The 16,695-nt window shown below is 45.7% G+C and overlaps 1 protein-coding gene across 18 annotated transcripts in view; it reads right to left on the bottom strand.

Moving 5' to 3' along the window:
• Window positions 1-16,695, bottom strand: part of PAQR5 (progestin and adipoQ receptor family member 5) — a 108,869-nt gene that overhangs the window by 43,995 nt on the left and 48,179 nt on the right. For 7 of the 18 annotated variants that reach the window (XM_047432749.1, XM_047432747.1, NM_017705.4 and 4 more), the window contains one exon: window positions 3,655-3,820. In XM_047432749.1, coding sequence (XP_047288705.1) covers window positions 3,655-3,705 — 51 coding nt within the window. In that variant the 5' untranslated portion in view covers window positions 3,706-3,820. Of the gene's footprint in view, window positions 1-3,654; window positions 3,821-4,363; window positions 4,470-12,771; window positions 12,932-14,438; window positions 14,829-16,695 lie in introns of all 18 variants that reach the window. The other 11 variants (XM_011521720.3, XM_047432750.1, XM_047432745.1 and 8 more) reach the window with 7 other exon arrangements.

Below are 16,695 nucleotides of genomic sequence, written 5' to 3'. Positions count from 1 at the left end.
GGTCAGGAGTTCGAGACCCAGCCTGGCCAACATGGTGAAACCCTGTTGTTACTGAAAATGCAAAAAGTATCTGGGCATGGTGGCGTGCACCTGTAGTCCCAGCTACTTGAGAGGTTGAGGCAGGAGAAGGAGAATCGCTTGAACCTGGGAGGCGGAGGTTGCAGTGAGTCATGATAGTGCCACTGCACTCCAGCCTGGGTGACAGAGCAAGACTCTGTCTCAAAAAAAAAAAAAAACAAAAACAAAAAACAGATTAGCAATTTGACACTCGATGTTCTTGTTTCCTGGCAAAGTGTCACGCCATGTTGCATATGAACTTGTTGTCTTTTTTCTAGGCCTCTCTGTTTTGTCTCTAAAGGGGTCTGTGTAAGAATCAACATCTAGATAATTATTCCATTCCTTGAGGTTTTGTTCACATCTTTAATGACCCTCTGATGTACCCAAGCTTAGTTTTGGACACAAGGGAGACTAAATATTATGAGGCATACACACAAATTCTGCCTTCTGAGGGAAGAGAGAAACTGCCCTTTTCCATGAACAATCTATCAGCCAGGAATGCACCAAGAATGGACCAGGATTACAACTCTGATGATGCAGAGAGGTGGGCACACCATTCCCTATAGATGGCTGAGGCCCAGACAGGGTAGTGAAGTGGCCCAGGTCACATAGCTGGCTGATACACAAAAGGAGAGGCAGCTGTACAGAGCAGCTTGTAGAGGTACAACCAACAGCTGAAGGAGCTCGGGGAAGGGAGCAGGCACCTGCCACTCCATAAAAAAGGAAGTCACAAAGGGGGAGCAAAGGTTGGGGAGAGGAAAGCCTTCTTCAAACAGAAATCAAGACAAGTGAAGGTTGCATCTCCTGGGGAGAATAAAGAGAAGAGGGTCTGTGGATGGGACGTGGTGGAAGAGGTGGGGAGGGATCAGGCTGGTGAAGGTGGTGAACAGCAGGCGAGGGAGCCGGGGTTCGAGTCTATGGACAGGGCCTCTGAAGTCTCCTGCCAGCATGCTCTACCCCTCAAAGTGCCCTAAAGAGCCTAGGAGAGAATGCTAATAATGACAACCAACATTATTAATTGTTCACCACGTGCCAGGCACTTCACTTGGGTTATCTCATTTAATTCTCACAACCCCAGGAGGCAGATACTGTTGTCATTCCCATTTTACAGAAGCCAAAGCTGAGGTAGAGAGATTATCTTGCTTGAGGCCACTCTAAAAACCAAGTATTGGAACCCACAGATCCCACCAAAGGTAAGCTTTAACAATTGTATGAAGTATCCTATTTTAAATATTCATGTAAATTGTGCATTCCATTTTTAATACCTGTGCATCTGTTTTAATACTAATAAATGTCTTTGCCCCCAAATCCTCAGGTAAAACTACCCTCCAGGCAGGCAGAGCCACTATATTTTCTCTATGGCTTCATGAACCCTGGGCATGATGCCCAAAAACCCAATAGTGGATGCTGGAGCCCAAGGCAGATTTTGAAGCAAACGGTGGCTGCAAAGTGTGATGTTGGTCTTCTGCCTCTAGCTAGTGCCATTTCACTAAAGATATCATCATCCTCTAACTTACGAAAAACTGGACAGAGAGGACATGTTCATCTTTCTCCCTTAGCCTCTGCCAGGGTTGTCCAGCCCTGACATTCAGAATCTCCATACATTCAGATTCCCAGCAGGTTACCCAAAGGACCTATTGATACCACTCTGCCCCCTTCACTTCTTTCCTGCGGACATACTCTGAATCCAACCCTGACCAAAATGTCCAGAAAGATATCTAAGCAGACTCCCATAACCTCTACCCCCAAGACGCTCCCCAGTCCCCCCACCATCACCACCTGCCCCATGATCTCCCATCTCTAGGCCTTTGCTCACACTGCTCCTTCCACCTGGAATGCTCTCCCCACTTCCACAATCCTGTCCACCCCTCAGATCACCCCCTTCATGAAGCCTTCCCTGATCACTTCCTCCCTGATATAATTTGGCTCTGTGTCCCCATTCAAATCTCATCTGAAATTGTAATCCCTATAATTCCCACATGTCAAGGGAGGAACCTGGTGGGAGGTGATTGGATCATGGGGGTGTTGTCCCCCAAACTGTGAGTGAGTTCTCTTGAGACCTGATGGTTTCATAAGTGTCTGACAGTTCCTCCTTCACATCATGCTCTCTCTTGCCTACTGTCATGTAAGACGTGCCTCTTCCCTCATGATTGTAAGTTACCTGAGGCCTCCACAGCCATGAGGAACTGTGAGTCAATTAGACCTCTTTTCTTTATAAATTACCAGGTTTCAGGCAGTTCTTTATAGCAGTGTGAGAATGGACTAATACACTCCCTCGTGATGGAAGTGACCAATCCCTTCTCTGAAACAATCACCCTGTCTTAAGATAGACCCTAACCCACTTTAGAAAAGAATTTCTCATGCACATTTAAAAATCTTCCTGACCAACATATGAGTCACGCAAGGACAGGATTTGTATGTAATTATTCTCTGAATCCCTTGCACATAGTAGGCAGTCAATACAAATTTCATGAGTAAATAAATTCAAGAATCACACTGTGTTCCCACTAATCACAGCTGCTAATGCTCTATGGGTAGAACCAACCAGCAAAGTGCACCAAAAGGAGAAGGTGATTGCCCTGTGAGAACAGAGGCAGGTGCTCTGCCCAGTGTCATGGGAGACAGCCACACGTGTAGCTTGCCTATTACTTGCCACATTCCTCAGCTCACCCCACCAAACAGCTCTGCACCACTTACGGTTTTCCCCCATGCCATCTTCCTGGAATCACCTGGCTTCACAGGCTTTTAGGGTTAGGGTTTGGCAATTTCCCCCTCAACCTTCCATTGGTGATGTTGAGTTTATTTCAAACTTATTTTTCTGGGGCAAGTCATAAGTGCTTGGTAATCAGCCAAGCCAAGTAGAACTCTCCTCCACTCTGTCACATCTTCCCAAAGAAACTTCCCACCATGAAATGACACCCACTTTTCTTAGTCAAAAAGGAAGGAAATTTGACATCAACAAAGGGGTGCAACACAATGATGTTTCCTTTGCAAGAGAAGGAGGAAGTGCACCAGTTCTCTGTAGCACACAACCAGGCTCACCTATGGCTTAGTAAAGCAGATCATCAGTGAGTCTCACATATTTCAGGGTACCTGCCTGTGAGCTCCCAGGCCCATGGGTCCACTAAAGGGCAATGCTAAGGCTCATTCAACAACCCTCCCCATCGCCCCAGTGAAGGCCTGGCCTGGGCATCCTGCAAGTAATGGGGATGAGCAAAGCCATGACCTGGTGTGCCTTTGCCCATAGCCTGCTTTCAAGCACCCATAGGAGGGGCCTGAAAAAATAAACTTCCTACCCAGCCAGCTGCTGCTGGCTTTATCTCTTCAGGTTGAATCTCAGTAATGACTTTGCTTCTGGATAACACACAGATGTTGCAAGGAAGGGTTACAACTTAAACAACTTTGGGAATACTTCCATTTCAAGGTAGGTGGGGGAAGTAGGAGGCTGTAATATCCCCCAAGGAAGTGTGGGAAGGGGTCCTTGAAGGGAATGGGCCTGTACAGAACAGACTAGGTGAAGACAACAGCCCCCCATTGCGGAGGCCAAGCCCTGGTCACACTCTGGAAATGAACCATCATAATCAATAGAGCACATACCTGGGGTATCTGGTCTATGCTAAACAGCCTGGGGAGCTTCAGGCTCAGCATCTTGGAGCTGGATTGGCAAGGCCAGTAGGTGACAGCGCCTCCCTGTTACCAGGCCTCACTCAAAGCTCTAACATGGCCTGGGGCGTCTCTGCCTAGCTGGTGCTGTGCCGCTTCCCTGAAAGAGGACAGCATGAAGAAATCCAGTCAGTTTCAGCCTAACTCCAGCTGGGTCAGGACAGTCAGCTTGTTCAACTATTGAACATATACTTGCTACACATGATGGCACAAGATCAAGCTTCCTTAAAAACAGCAAAATGATCAGACTGCTGAGTCATCCACTCCAAGAGTGCTGGAGGGAGGTAATTAATAATAAGGGAGGAGACCACCCCTCATATTGTCTTATGCCCAATTTCTGCCTCCAAAGAAAGAAAAAGTAAAATCTAAAAGGCAGAAATGAAATCCACAAGCAGACAGCCGGCACCACACCCTGGGCCTGGTAGTTAAAGATTGACCCCTGATCTAATCAGTTATGTTATCTATAGATTACAGACATTGTATAGAAAAGCACTGCGAAAATCCATATCCTGTTTTGTTCCCATCTAATTACCAGTGCATGCAACCCCCAGTTACATACCCCCTGCTCGATCAATCAATCACGACCCTCTCACACGCACCCCCTTAGAGTTGTGAGCCCTTAAAAGGGACAGGAATTGCTCACTTGGGGAGCTCGGCCCTTGAGACAGGAGTCTTGCTGATGCCCCCCGGCCAAATAAACCGCTTCCGTCTTTAACTCGGTGTCTGAGGAGTTTTGTCTGCGGCTCATCCTGTGACAATAATATGGGCAATTACTATGGTCTGAATGTTTGTGTCTCCCCAAAATTCATGTGTCAAAACCTAATCTCCAATGTGGTGACAAGGAGCAGGGCTTTTGGGAGGTGACTAGGTCATGAAGGCTCTGCCCTTACGAGTGGGATTAGTGCTCATAGAAAAGAGGTGTGAGGGAGCTTGTTCGCCCCTTCCACCATGTGAAGACACATAGAAGGAGACATCTATGAGGAATGGGCCCTCACCAGACGGGGAATCTGCTGGCACTGTGACCTTGGACTTCCCAGCCTCCAGAACCATTAGCAATAAATTTCTGTTGTTTATAAATTACCCAGTCTTAGATATTTTGTGATAGCATGCCAAATGGACTAAGACAGTGATCATAAAATTGCAGAGCTAAGGCCAGGTGTGGTGGCTCATGCCTATAATCCCAGAAATTTGGGAGACTGAGATGGGACGATCAGTTGAGCCCCAGAGTTCAAGACCAGCCTGGGTGATATAGTGAGACCTTGTTTCTACAAAGAAGAAATTAAAATTAGCTGGGTATGGTGTTATACTCAAGGGCGGGCTAAAGTGAGATCACTTCAGCCCAGGAGGTCAAGGCTGCTGTGAGCCATGATCATGCCACTGCACTCCAGCCAGAGCAACACAGCAAGAATCTGTCTCAAAAAAAAAAAAAAAATGCCACAGAGCTGAAAAGAAAAGGGCCTTAGAGGTCACCCAGTCTTCTCATGTTACACATGAAGGTGGGAGGGGCGGAATAACTTTCCCAAGGCCGCACCGCAGCAGGGAGCTGGGCTGCTCACTCTCCACTCCACCAGAGGCTGCCCCTGGACGGACAGTGGGATCTTAAGTCTGTGTCCAGCCAGTGGGTGGAAGAGGGTCAGGAGCTGCCTCAGATCACAGCAAGAGAAGCAACTCAACTCTTCCAGAAAGCTGACCAGAGCTTGGTTGCCCTGAGACACACAAAAGAACCATGCCAAGCAAATAAATCCAAGGCACTTGTTGGAGACAGAGCAACTCAAGAGTAAGTAACAAGATTGCTTAAATGCAGGATGAAGACCACTTAAGAGCTGTGAGTAATGTGCACCACAGAGACCCAGAGCCCTTGCAACAGGTCCAAGAAACAGAAAAATACACCTTGGATTTAGCAAAGAAGAGCAGAGTTGGGAATTTACCATAGTAAATTTCCTCCTTTACCCCTATCATCACTGGGCCAAAGTCTACCACCTCCTGAGAGCCCTCCTCATAGTCCTCATCAGTCAGAGGTGTTCTTTCCCTGCCTCTGAAGACCCAGAGACCTTGCTTGTATGTACCTGCAGCACCAACCACATCGTACCTACAGTCACAGCTAACTCCCTAGGCCTCGTCTGCCCCTTCAGGAAGAAGCCTCCCATGGCTGGCTGGAAACTCGGGGTGTATGCATGGTCCACCCTGGGCCCTCAGCAAATGATTATTTAATGAAGCAATGATGCTCATAGTTTGAACTTGAAGTTGTTTTGTTTTTATTTTTGTGGTTCGTTTACTTTTGCTTCTTCTTATATTTATGTTCTAAGTGTTATCTGAAACTATGCAGCAAAACACAATCTGTTTATTTCACCGTCGTAAATATGCTTCTTTCTTAAAAACAGTAATAGAAGCATTATTCACAATACTCAAAGGGTGGAAGCAACCGAAGTGTTCATTAAAGGATGAATGAACAAAATGTGGTGGTATCAGTCCATTCTTGCATTGCTATAAAGAAATACCTGAGGCCAAGTGTGGTAGCGCACACCTGTAATCCCAGCACTTTGGGAGGCCTAGGTGGGTGGATCACCTAAGGTCAGGAGTTTGAGACCAACCTGGGCAACATGGTGAAACCCCGTCTCTACTAAAAATACAAAAATTAGCCAGGCATGGTGGTGCACAACTGTAGTCCCCACTACCAGGGAGGCTGAGGCAGGAGAATTGCTTGAACCTGGGAGGTGGAGGTTGCAGTGAGCCGAGATCATACCACTACACTCCAGCCTGGACGACAGAGCAAGATTATGTCTCAAAAACAAACAAACAAACAAACAAACACCCTGAGACTGGGTAATTTATAAAGAAAAGAGGTTTAATTGGCTCACAGTTCTGCAGGCTGGACAGGAAACATGGTACTGGGTTCTGCTTGGCTTCTAGGGAGGCTGCAGGAAGCTTACAATCATAGCGGAAGGCGAAGGAGTAGCTGGCAAGTTGTACGGCGAAAGCAGGAGCAAGAGAGAAAGAGAGAGAGAGAGACAGTGGGTGGGGAGATGCCACGCACTTTTAAACAACCAGATCTTGAGAGAAGTCACTATCTCGAAGACAGCACCAAGCCACGAGGGATCTGCCCCCATGATACAAACACCTCCCTCCAGGCCCCACCTTCAGCATTGGGGATTACATTTCAACATGAGACTTGCGCAGGGACAAATATTCAAACTATATCAGTGAAATATACATACAATGGAATATTATTCATCCTTAAAAAGGAAGGAAATTCTGATATATGCTACAACCAGGACACACCTTTGAAGACCTTAAGCTAAGTGAAGTGAGCCACTTACAAAAGGACAAATGTTGTACAATTCCACAGGTACAAGGCACCTGGAGTAGTCAAATTCCTAGAAACAGAAAGCTGGATAGTGGTTACCAGGGGCTTGGGGGAAAGAATGGGGAATTTGTATTTAAAGGACACAGAGTTTCTGTTTGGGATGATAAAAATGTTCTGAAGATGGATGATGGCGATGGTTGCACAACGGTACCAACGTACTTAATGCCACTGAGCTATACACTTAAAAATGGTTAAAATGCTAAATGTTATGTATATTTTATACCAATAAAATAGTGGCATACAATTTCAAAATTATAGAATAATAAAGAAAATAATTTTTTTAAGCTCACATACATTTTGCCCAGGTTAAAAAATAAAAGTTAATACTTTGCAAAAAATACAGTACTGATGTAAATGAGCCATAGTACACTTAGTTTTTCATGGCTAAATCACCAAGCCGTGCACACTCATAGAAGCACCACCAATTCACCTAATGGCAGGACAAGAGGCAAATGTCCAGTAATAGGGAAACTCAAACACACCAGAGAAGCCTCAGACAACAATAGAAATCAAGGTTGGGTCTCCACAGACCTGCCTACCTAGGTCCCTTAGTTATCTCTGGCTTTGACTCAATATCATGGGAAGAAAAAGAAAGACACAGTCTCTACTCTCACACTATTTAGGTAGGATGACCATATTAGCCATGCAAAAATAAGGGGTAATACAAAGTAGTGTAGGATTCATTAATTTCTTCATTCATTCACTGCTTACTGCATTTTAATCAGGGATAAGTGAATAGCTTAAGAAAGAAAGGATAAGGGATAAGTGAATAGCTGATTATTCTCTGTGGGCTGCCGCAGATTTAAGGAAAAGCTGAGAATTTAACTGATATAAAAATTGTTTAAGTTTGTGATACGCAGAATAGAGGGGAGTAGTCATGCTTTATATCATTCTATTCCTTCATTTCACAGGGGAAAAAAGATGAATAAGACTATCCTTGTCTCCAAGAAATGTATAAAAAATAAATAAAGAAATAGGACAGGCCGGGCACAATGCCTTACACCTGTAATCCCAGCACTTTGGGAGGCTGAGGCAGGTGGATCACCTGAGGTCAGGAGTTCGAGACCAGCCTGACCAACATGGTGAAACCCTGTTTCTACTAAAAATACAAAAATTAGCTGGGCGTGGTGGCGAATGCCTGTAATCCCTGCTACTTGGGAGGCTGAGGCAGGGGACTCTCTTGAACCTGGGAGACAGAGGTTGCAGTGAGCCGAGATCTCACCACTACACTCCAGCCTGGGCAACAGAGTGAGACTCTGTCTCAAGAAAAAAAAGAAAAAGAAAAAGAAAAAAAAGAAAGAAGGAAAGAAAGAGAAAGAAAGAAAGAAAGAAAGAAAGAAAGAAAGAAAGAAAGAAAAAAAGAAAGAAAGAAAGAAAGAAAGAAAGAAAGAAAGAAAGAAAGAAAGAAAGAAAAGAAAGAAAGAGAGAAAGAAGACAAATATACTCCTGTATTAGAGTTCTCCAGAAAGGCAGAACCAAGTAGATAGGTAGATAGGTAGGTAGATAAACAGATAGCGAGAGAGAGAGAGAGAGAGATGGGTGACAGGGGATTTATTAGGTGAATTGGCTCATGTGATAATGGAAGCCAAGAATTCCCACAACAGGCTCTCTAACAAGCTGGAGACACTGGGATGCCCACAGTGTGGCTGAGTCCAAGTCCTACAGCCTCAGAATGAGGGAACCTGATGGTTTAACTCTCGGACTGAGGCAGAAGGCCCTGAGAACTCTGCGGGGTGGAGGTGCAAGTCCTAGAGTCCAAGGGCCAGAAAGCCTGGAGTTCTGATGCCCAAGGGAAGGAGAAGAAGGGTGACCCAGCTCCAGGAGAAAAAGAGAGAGAATTTGAATTTCCTCTTTTTGTTCTCTCTGGGCCCTTGTTGATTGGATGGTGTCTGCCCACACTGAGGGTGGATCTTCCCCACTTGGTCCATGGACTTACAACCCGATCTCCTCTGGAAACATCCTCGCAGACACACCCAGAAATCACGCTTAGCAGTTCTCTAGGTATTCCCTAATCCAGTCAAGTGGACACCTAAAATTAACCATCACAAGTCTACCCCCTGTCAACTTGGTACCCATCTGCATCTCCTAAATCATATTTAATCTCCAAATAAAAACAATAACAATAAGATAGTTCTGCAAAACATGATACAATTATCCTGCATACAACCCAAAATGCACTCATCCCTTCCACAGAAGAGGAGGTAAAGTTCTTGGGTAATGTTTATTCTTCTCTTGATATCTCATAACTTAAATAGTATGATATAACATTAATAATACTTAACTACTGATACAAGGTCAATAAATCTTATATTACGTGATGAAGAAATAAGAGAAGCACAAGGATATTTGTTAATATATGTATATATACATGCAAACATATTCTTAACAAAACAAGGAGGAAATACTCATGACAATTACAGTCCTTGGTTCTGTAACTGATCATGTTTGTAGCTGGTATTGATAACTATCTTCTTCTACTACCCATCTGCATTCTCTTTGCCTTCAGTAAGCACCTTAGTTGGTCATGGTTCTTTACTTAGTGGGTTGGCCTAAACCTTAATTCCTGAAGGGTCTGGGCCATTTGTTAGTACTGCCTAGATTGGGTTGTCATAGTTTCCCATTGACCTTAATCACAGAGCAGGATAATTCTAAGAGAGGCCCAAAGAGCTTTCCTGTATTCCAGACATACTCTTCCTCACTCCCGTTGTCGGGTAGGAGTGCAATTTCCTCCTGGTCATCCACATCAGTCATCCCAGCCCAAACCATCACTCCCTTCTTAGCCTGTTGATTCAGAGGCACAAGAAGCCCAAAGTGGCTGGGTGGCAGTCTTAACTTCCAGCTCAGTGGAATCATTGTTGTGTCTCCTGGTGGAAGCATTCTCCCCTCTGGAACTAAGACCTTTAGACCAGCAGAGCATCAAGTCTTCTTGGAAACAGGAAGCAAAAATTTTGTTTGTGGGTCACTAGGGATAAGGGTGAGTGGTGCCCCCCACCTCCCTCCATTTCTACCCTTTGATTCCTGCACCTGTGAATCCTGGCTGTGGGAGAAATAGTACCACATATTGAACGCTGATTCAGAGCATGTACAGCCTTCTGGACAACCTTGCCCCAGCCCTGCAAGGTATTGCCACCTAGCTGGCTCTGTAATTATGACTTCAAAAGGCCATTCTACTGTTCTGTCAAGCCAGCTGCTTCGGAATAACGGGAACATGGTAAGACCAGTGAATTCCATGAGCATGGGCCCATTGTCACACTTCTTTGGCTGTAAAATGAGTTTCTTTGTCAAAAGCAATATTGTATGAATACCATGGCAATGAATAAAGCATTCTATGAGTCCATGGATGGTAGTTTTGACAGAAGTATCACATTCAGGGGAGACAAATCCATATTCAGATTAAATATGTATTCCAGTAAGGAAAAAACACTGCCTCTTCCATGATGGAAGGGGTCCAGTGTAAGCAACTTGCCACCAGGTAGCTGGCTGATCGCCCCAGGTAATGGTGCCACATCAGGGACACCAGTGTTGGTCTCTGCTGCTGGCAGAATGGGCACTCAGCAGTGGTTGTAGCCAGGTTGGCCTCAGTGAGTGGAAGTCAATGTTGCTGAGCCAGTGCATAACCTCCATCCCTGCCACCATGGCCACTTTATTCATGAGACTCTGGGATGAAGACAGGGATGGGTGGTGAAAGAGGCTGACTGGCATCTACAGAACAGGTCATTCTATCCACTTGATTATTAAAGTCCTCCTCTGACGAGGTCACTCTTTGGTGACTGCTAACATGAGACACAAATATCTTCACCTCTTTTGCCCAATCAGAGAGGTCCATCCACATACCTCTTCCCCAAATTTCCTTGTCACCAATTTTCCAGTCATGTTTCTTCCATATTCCTGACCATCCAGCCAAACCATTGGCTACAGCCCATGAATCAGTAAACTATATACATCTGGCCATTTCTGCTTCCAAGCAAAGTGCATGACCAGGTGCCCTGCTCGAATTTCTGCCAACTGAGAAGAGTTCCCTTCACTACTGTCCTTCAAGGATGCCTCATAGAAGGGCCATAGCGCTGCAGCTGTCCATTTTCAGGTAGCCTGCATATCACGCAGATCCATCTGGACGGCAGGCCCCGGTTTTCTCTTCCTTTGTCAACTGATCATAGGGCATTTCCCATGAGGCCATAGGTGCAGGCTGGAAGAGAGAAGGCAGAGTAGCAGGAGTAGAAACCATGGGCATTTGTGTCACTTCTTCATATAACTTACTTGTGTCTTCAGGATCTGTTCAGGCCTGATCACGTATAAACCACTTCCATTTGATGATGGAATGCTGCTGTGCATGCCCAACTTTATGGCTTGGTGGATCAGATAACATTCAGTTCATGATACGCAGCTCAGGTCATGTGGTAAATTGGTGGTCCATGGTCAAGCATTCAGTTTCTACTAAGGCCCAGTCCTACTAAGGCCAAGAGCTGCCTCCCAAAAGGAGGGTATTTATCTGTGGATGACGGCAAGGCCTTGCTCCAAAAGGCCCTCTAAGGGCATCTGCTGCAGTTCACCTATAGGGGCCTGCCAAAGACTCCAGATAGCATCCTTATCTGCCACTGACACATCAAGCACCAATGGATCTGCTGGGTCATATGACCCAAGTGGCAGAGCAGCTTGCATAGCAGCCTGGACCTGTTGCAGAGCCTTCTCCTGTTCTAGGATCCACTCACAACTAGCAGCTTTTCAGGTCACTTGGTAGATGGGCTAGAGTAACACACCCAAATGAGGAATGTGTGTCCCTAAAATCCAAACAAGCCCAAGGTGTTCATGCGCTTCTTTCTTGGTTGTAGGAGGGGCCAAATGCAACAACTTATCCCTCATCTTATAGAAGGGATATCTCAAGATACCCCACCCACACCACTGGATCCCTAGAAATTACACCGAGGTAGAAGGCCCCTGAATTTTGTCAGATTTCTCACCCTCTATGTAAGCAAATGTCTTACAAATAAGCCCAGAGTGGTTGCTACTTCACTAGGTCCAATCAGCATAACACCATCAATGTAATGGGCCAGCATGATCTCTTGTGGAAAGATAAGGTGATCAAGTGCCCTGCAAACTAAATCGCGACAAAGGGCTGGAGAGTTTATATACCCCTGAGGTAGGACGGTGAAGGTGTATTGTTGGCCTTGCCAGCTGAGAGCAAGTTGCTTCTGGTGGGCTTTATAGACAGGGTTGGAGAAAAAGGCATTTGCCTGATCCGTGGCAGCATACCAGGTACCAGAAGATGTGTTATTTTGCTCAAGCAATGTAACCACATCTGGTACAGCAGCTGCAATTAGAGTCACCACTTGGTTAAGCTTGTGATAATCCACTGTCTTCTGGATTCTTCAGGATCCATCTGTCTTTGGCACAGGCCAAATACATAAGCCGAATGGGGATGTGGTAGGAATCTCCACCCCTGTGTCTTCAAGTCCTTGATAGCAGCACTAATCTCTGCAATCCCTTCAGGGATGGGATATTGTTTTTGATTTATTATGTTTCTAGGTAGAGACAGCTCTAATGGCTTTCATTTGGCCATTTCCACCATAATAGCCCTCCCTTCACAGGTTAGGGAAGCAATGTGGGGATTCTCCCAGCCTCTAAGTATGTCTATTCCCTTGGACCCACCATGAGTCAGACCCGAGCTAAAACTCCACTGATCAGCTCACCTCTATGAGCCTCGCCTCTGACTAGAGGGCCACAGTAACATTTCGGGCCTCCTGGAATCAATGTCAGCACAGAGCCGGTGTCTAGCAGTCCATGAAACCTCTGATTACTTCCTTTTCCTAAAGCACAGTTACCCTGGGTCACAGATCCCTTTGGCGAAGCCTGGGAGAAAGAGTAATAGTATAAATTTTCAGTAGTGTCCCCCTCCCTGAGGGAACCCAGCCTCCCCTATATTCAAGGGTTTTTGGGTCTATAAACTGGCTCATGTCTGGGAATTGATTGAGGTACTGTGAGTCTGTGTTCTTACACTCTGGTTTTTTTGTTTGTTTTGTGTGTGTGTGTGTGTGTGATTTTTTAATTTTTTTTATTTTTTTGAGAAAGGGTCTCACTCTGTTGCCCAGGCTGGAGTGCAGTGGCTCAATCTCGGCTCACTGCAGCCTCCACCTCTTGAGTTCAAGCGATTCTTGCGCCTCAGCCTCCAAAGTAGCTGGGACTACAGGTGTGCGCCATCACACCTGGCTAAATTTTGTATTTTTAGCAGAGACAGCGTTTCACCATGTTGGCCAGGCTGATCTCAAACTCCTGACCTCAAGTTATCTGCCTGCATCGGCCTCCCAAAGTGCTGGGATTACAGGTGTGAGCCACCATGTTCAGCCTGTTCTTACACTCTGAATTAGGCCTTTGTTGACTTGGTCTGGAAGTTGTCTGCTTATACAGATCAAGTAAGATCGTAGTAGACTTTCTATTTCACTTCTAGACCAGCCAATGCCATAGATCTGCACGAGACAGACGATTCTGATTGGTTCTCTGCCTCTGCTGCCCACAACCATAACTATACCCACTTTGCCGTTGGAGCTGAGTGCCGCCACGCGGCCCCTGCTACCCTGGGATCCAGTTATTCCCACTGCATTTAACTTTTCCAATTAAGCGACTGCTTTTCCCATTGTAAAGTCTGGCCTACAGAAATGAGCAATCAGAGCTCTTTAGGATGAGTAAGTCTTAAGTGAAAAATCCACTCTAGCCTTCCAATCTCCCTAAGCCTGTGGATCCCTTCCTCTGCTTGAAACTAAGGGAAGGCTGGGCACCGTGGCTCACGCCTGTAATCCCAACACTTTGGGAGGCCAAGGCGGGCCGATCACTTGAGGTCAGGAGTTCGAGACCAGCCTGGCCAACATGGTGAAACCCCATCTCTTCTAAAAATACAAAAATTAGCCGGGTGTGGTGGTGGGCACCTGTAATCCCAGCTACTCAGGAGGCTGAGGCAGGAGAATGGCTTGAACCCAGGAGGCAGAGGTTTCAGTGAGCTGAGACCATGCGATTGCACTCCAGCCTGGGCAACAAGAGTGAAACTCCGTCTCAAAAAATAAAAAAAAAAATAAAAATAAACTAAGGGAGATCGAACACCTCCAACTTGTTAATAGTGGCCCATGTTTTGATTCATGTTTCAGCCAACCAACCAAAGTGTTAGTACTTTTCTTAACTCCCCACACTGGAACATTACATGCAGAATCTCTGTTTAGTGTGCCCACAGCAATAAATTCGGCCTGATCCAACTTGATGTTCCTTCCACATTATCCCACACCCTGATAGCCATCCCCACACATGTTCTCTGGATTTGGTTCTTGTGGAGGGTAGTACAGCTCCTCGTGGGTCACATTTTGGGCCTCACCTTCAGGGGCCTGCTGGGACTCACGCCTGGTTGCAGGTCTAGAAGCAAAGTGGAGTGATATGTGTGGGTCCTGAGGAGAATCAGAATTATCTTTCTTGGCAACTGCCTTGGAGAGGACATTTCTGGTTCCTCAGGCGAGCAGAGTTTACCCGCAGACAGAGGTGGGAAGGCCATACCATTGTGGGTGGGGATGCTAATTGGATGGTGCCCACCCACATTACGGGCAAATTTTCCCCGCGCAGTCCACCGACTCACAAGCCAATCTCCCCTGAAAACACCCTCCCAGGTGTACCCCAAAATAATGCTTTACCAGTTCTCAAGGTAGAGTGCTCCCCACATCATCCAAGGTTTTGCCTTCCATAGTTTTAGTTACCTGACGTCAATGGCAGTCTAAAAATATTAAATAGAAAATTCCAGAAAGAATTCTTAAGTTTTAAATAGTGCAAAGTTCGAGTGGCACGGTGAAATCTCACACCATCCCACTCCATCGGGCCTGGGCAGTGAATCCCTGTGAATCACCCTTTGTCTAGTGTATTCACTGAGTACAGCTACCTGCCCCTCTGGTCACCTAGTAGCCATCTTGGGTATCAGATCGGAAAAACCTACCGTCTCTGGAGTCTAGTGCTATAGGTAGCCATCTTGAGTATCAGATCGGAAAAACCTACCATCTCTGGAGTCTAGTACTATATGCAGTTCAGGCCTTCACTTGGAACGTCTTGGAACATGTCCCCTGCCAAGTTGACACCTAAAATTAACCCTCACAGTACCCAACTAACACATGCAAACCCTGAGAAGCAGGGAATCTCTCCCCTACTCTGAACCAAACCTATGCTGGTCACCTCGCCTGCCTGTCTCATCTCATTCACCCTCACCTCAGCCATCTGAGAAATCCCAGCAAAGCAGGTAAGGGCCCAAGTGCTGCTTTCAAAACACCTGCGTTCAAAGACTGCTTCACCGTTTCCTGTGCAACCTTAGGTAAGTTACTTAACTCCCTGTGCTTCAGTTTCCCCATTTGTAAAATTAAAATCGCAGTACTTTCTTCATAGGGTCCTTCTTATACTTAAGAGACATAACCCATGTAAATGGCCTGCCATAAAAGTAAGGGTTCAACAAACACTTCCTATTATTAATTTTCAGGCAGGAAAATTAATTTTATGTTTTATTGAGAGGAAAACAGAGGTGTCCCAAAGTTAGGGACCTTGCCCGAGATCACACAGCCAGTAGGCGGCCTTTGGTTTCTGGTTTGCCTGAAGGTCTGTGGAGGGAGTCAGGGATGGGAAGGATGTTGGTGGTCCATGGACCCCTGCCCTTTGAGCTGAGGACTGTTGGCTGCAGAGACTCAAGAGATTGGAGGCTTTGAAACTGCCCTCTGTGGGGCCCTTGGTTATGCTCCTGTGCTATAGGTTGAATGTTTGTGTCACCCTAAAAATTCATATGTTGAAGCTTAATTCCCAATGTTATGGTATTTAGAAGTGAGGTCTTTGGGAAGTAGTTAGGTCATGAGGGCAGAGTCTTCATGAAAGGGACTTAACGCCCTGATAAAAGAGGCCCCAGAGAACTCACCTGCCCTTCAGCCATAGGAAGACACAGCAAGAAGACACAGTGTCTATGGACCAAAAGCACCGAATCTACTGAAGTTCCAGCCTCCTGAACTGTGAGAAATTTCTGTTGTCTATGAGTCACTCGCTATGATATTTTGTTATGGCAGCTCAAACAGACTAAGACACCCAGAGACCACTTTTGGAGGGGCGGGGATTGTAATGGCCACCAGGGAGAAAGAGAGGTCACTTCTGTCCCTATTTTAACCAGAAGATGCCCACTTTTTTCTGGATTATAGTGAAAACATAACATAAGGCCCTCCCTTTGAGAAAGAAAATATGGGGTGTAAGTTTCCTTTTAAGAAGAGAATTGACTTTAGCTAAAGGGACTTAAACCCTAGCAGACACTAGGACTTAATTTCTTTTTCCGACTGATAGAAAATGGAAAATACAGAATGTTTATAATGACGTTTATAACTTAGATGCTAAACAATGAACCTCTTTGCCAATTAATTAGCTTGAGACAAACTATCAGGTAAGACCCAACTTGACCCTCCTGTTTCAAAAGTGGGAGATTTCTTGTGTCATGTTTTCTTGCCATCCGGATAAATAAGAACTCTCTTGCTAATCCGTGGTTATTTTGCATTTAAAATGTAAATCTTTAAGTTTGTCAAAAATTGCAGCTGGAGGCCTGGCGTGGTGGCTCACACCTGTAATCT

This window comes from Homo sapiens, chromosome 15, assembly GCF_000001405.40.
Source record: "Homo sapiens chromosome 15, GRCh38.p14 Primary Assembly".
Lineage (NCBI taxonomy): Eukaryota > Metazoa > Chordata > Mammalia > Primates > Hominidae > Homo > Homo sapiens.
The sequence above is the reverse complement of the archived record's forward strand: the minus strand, read 5'-3'. Positions and strand labels throughout refer to the sequence as shown.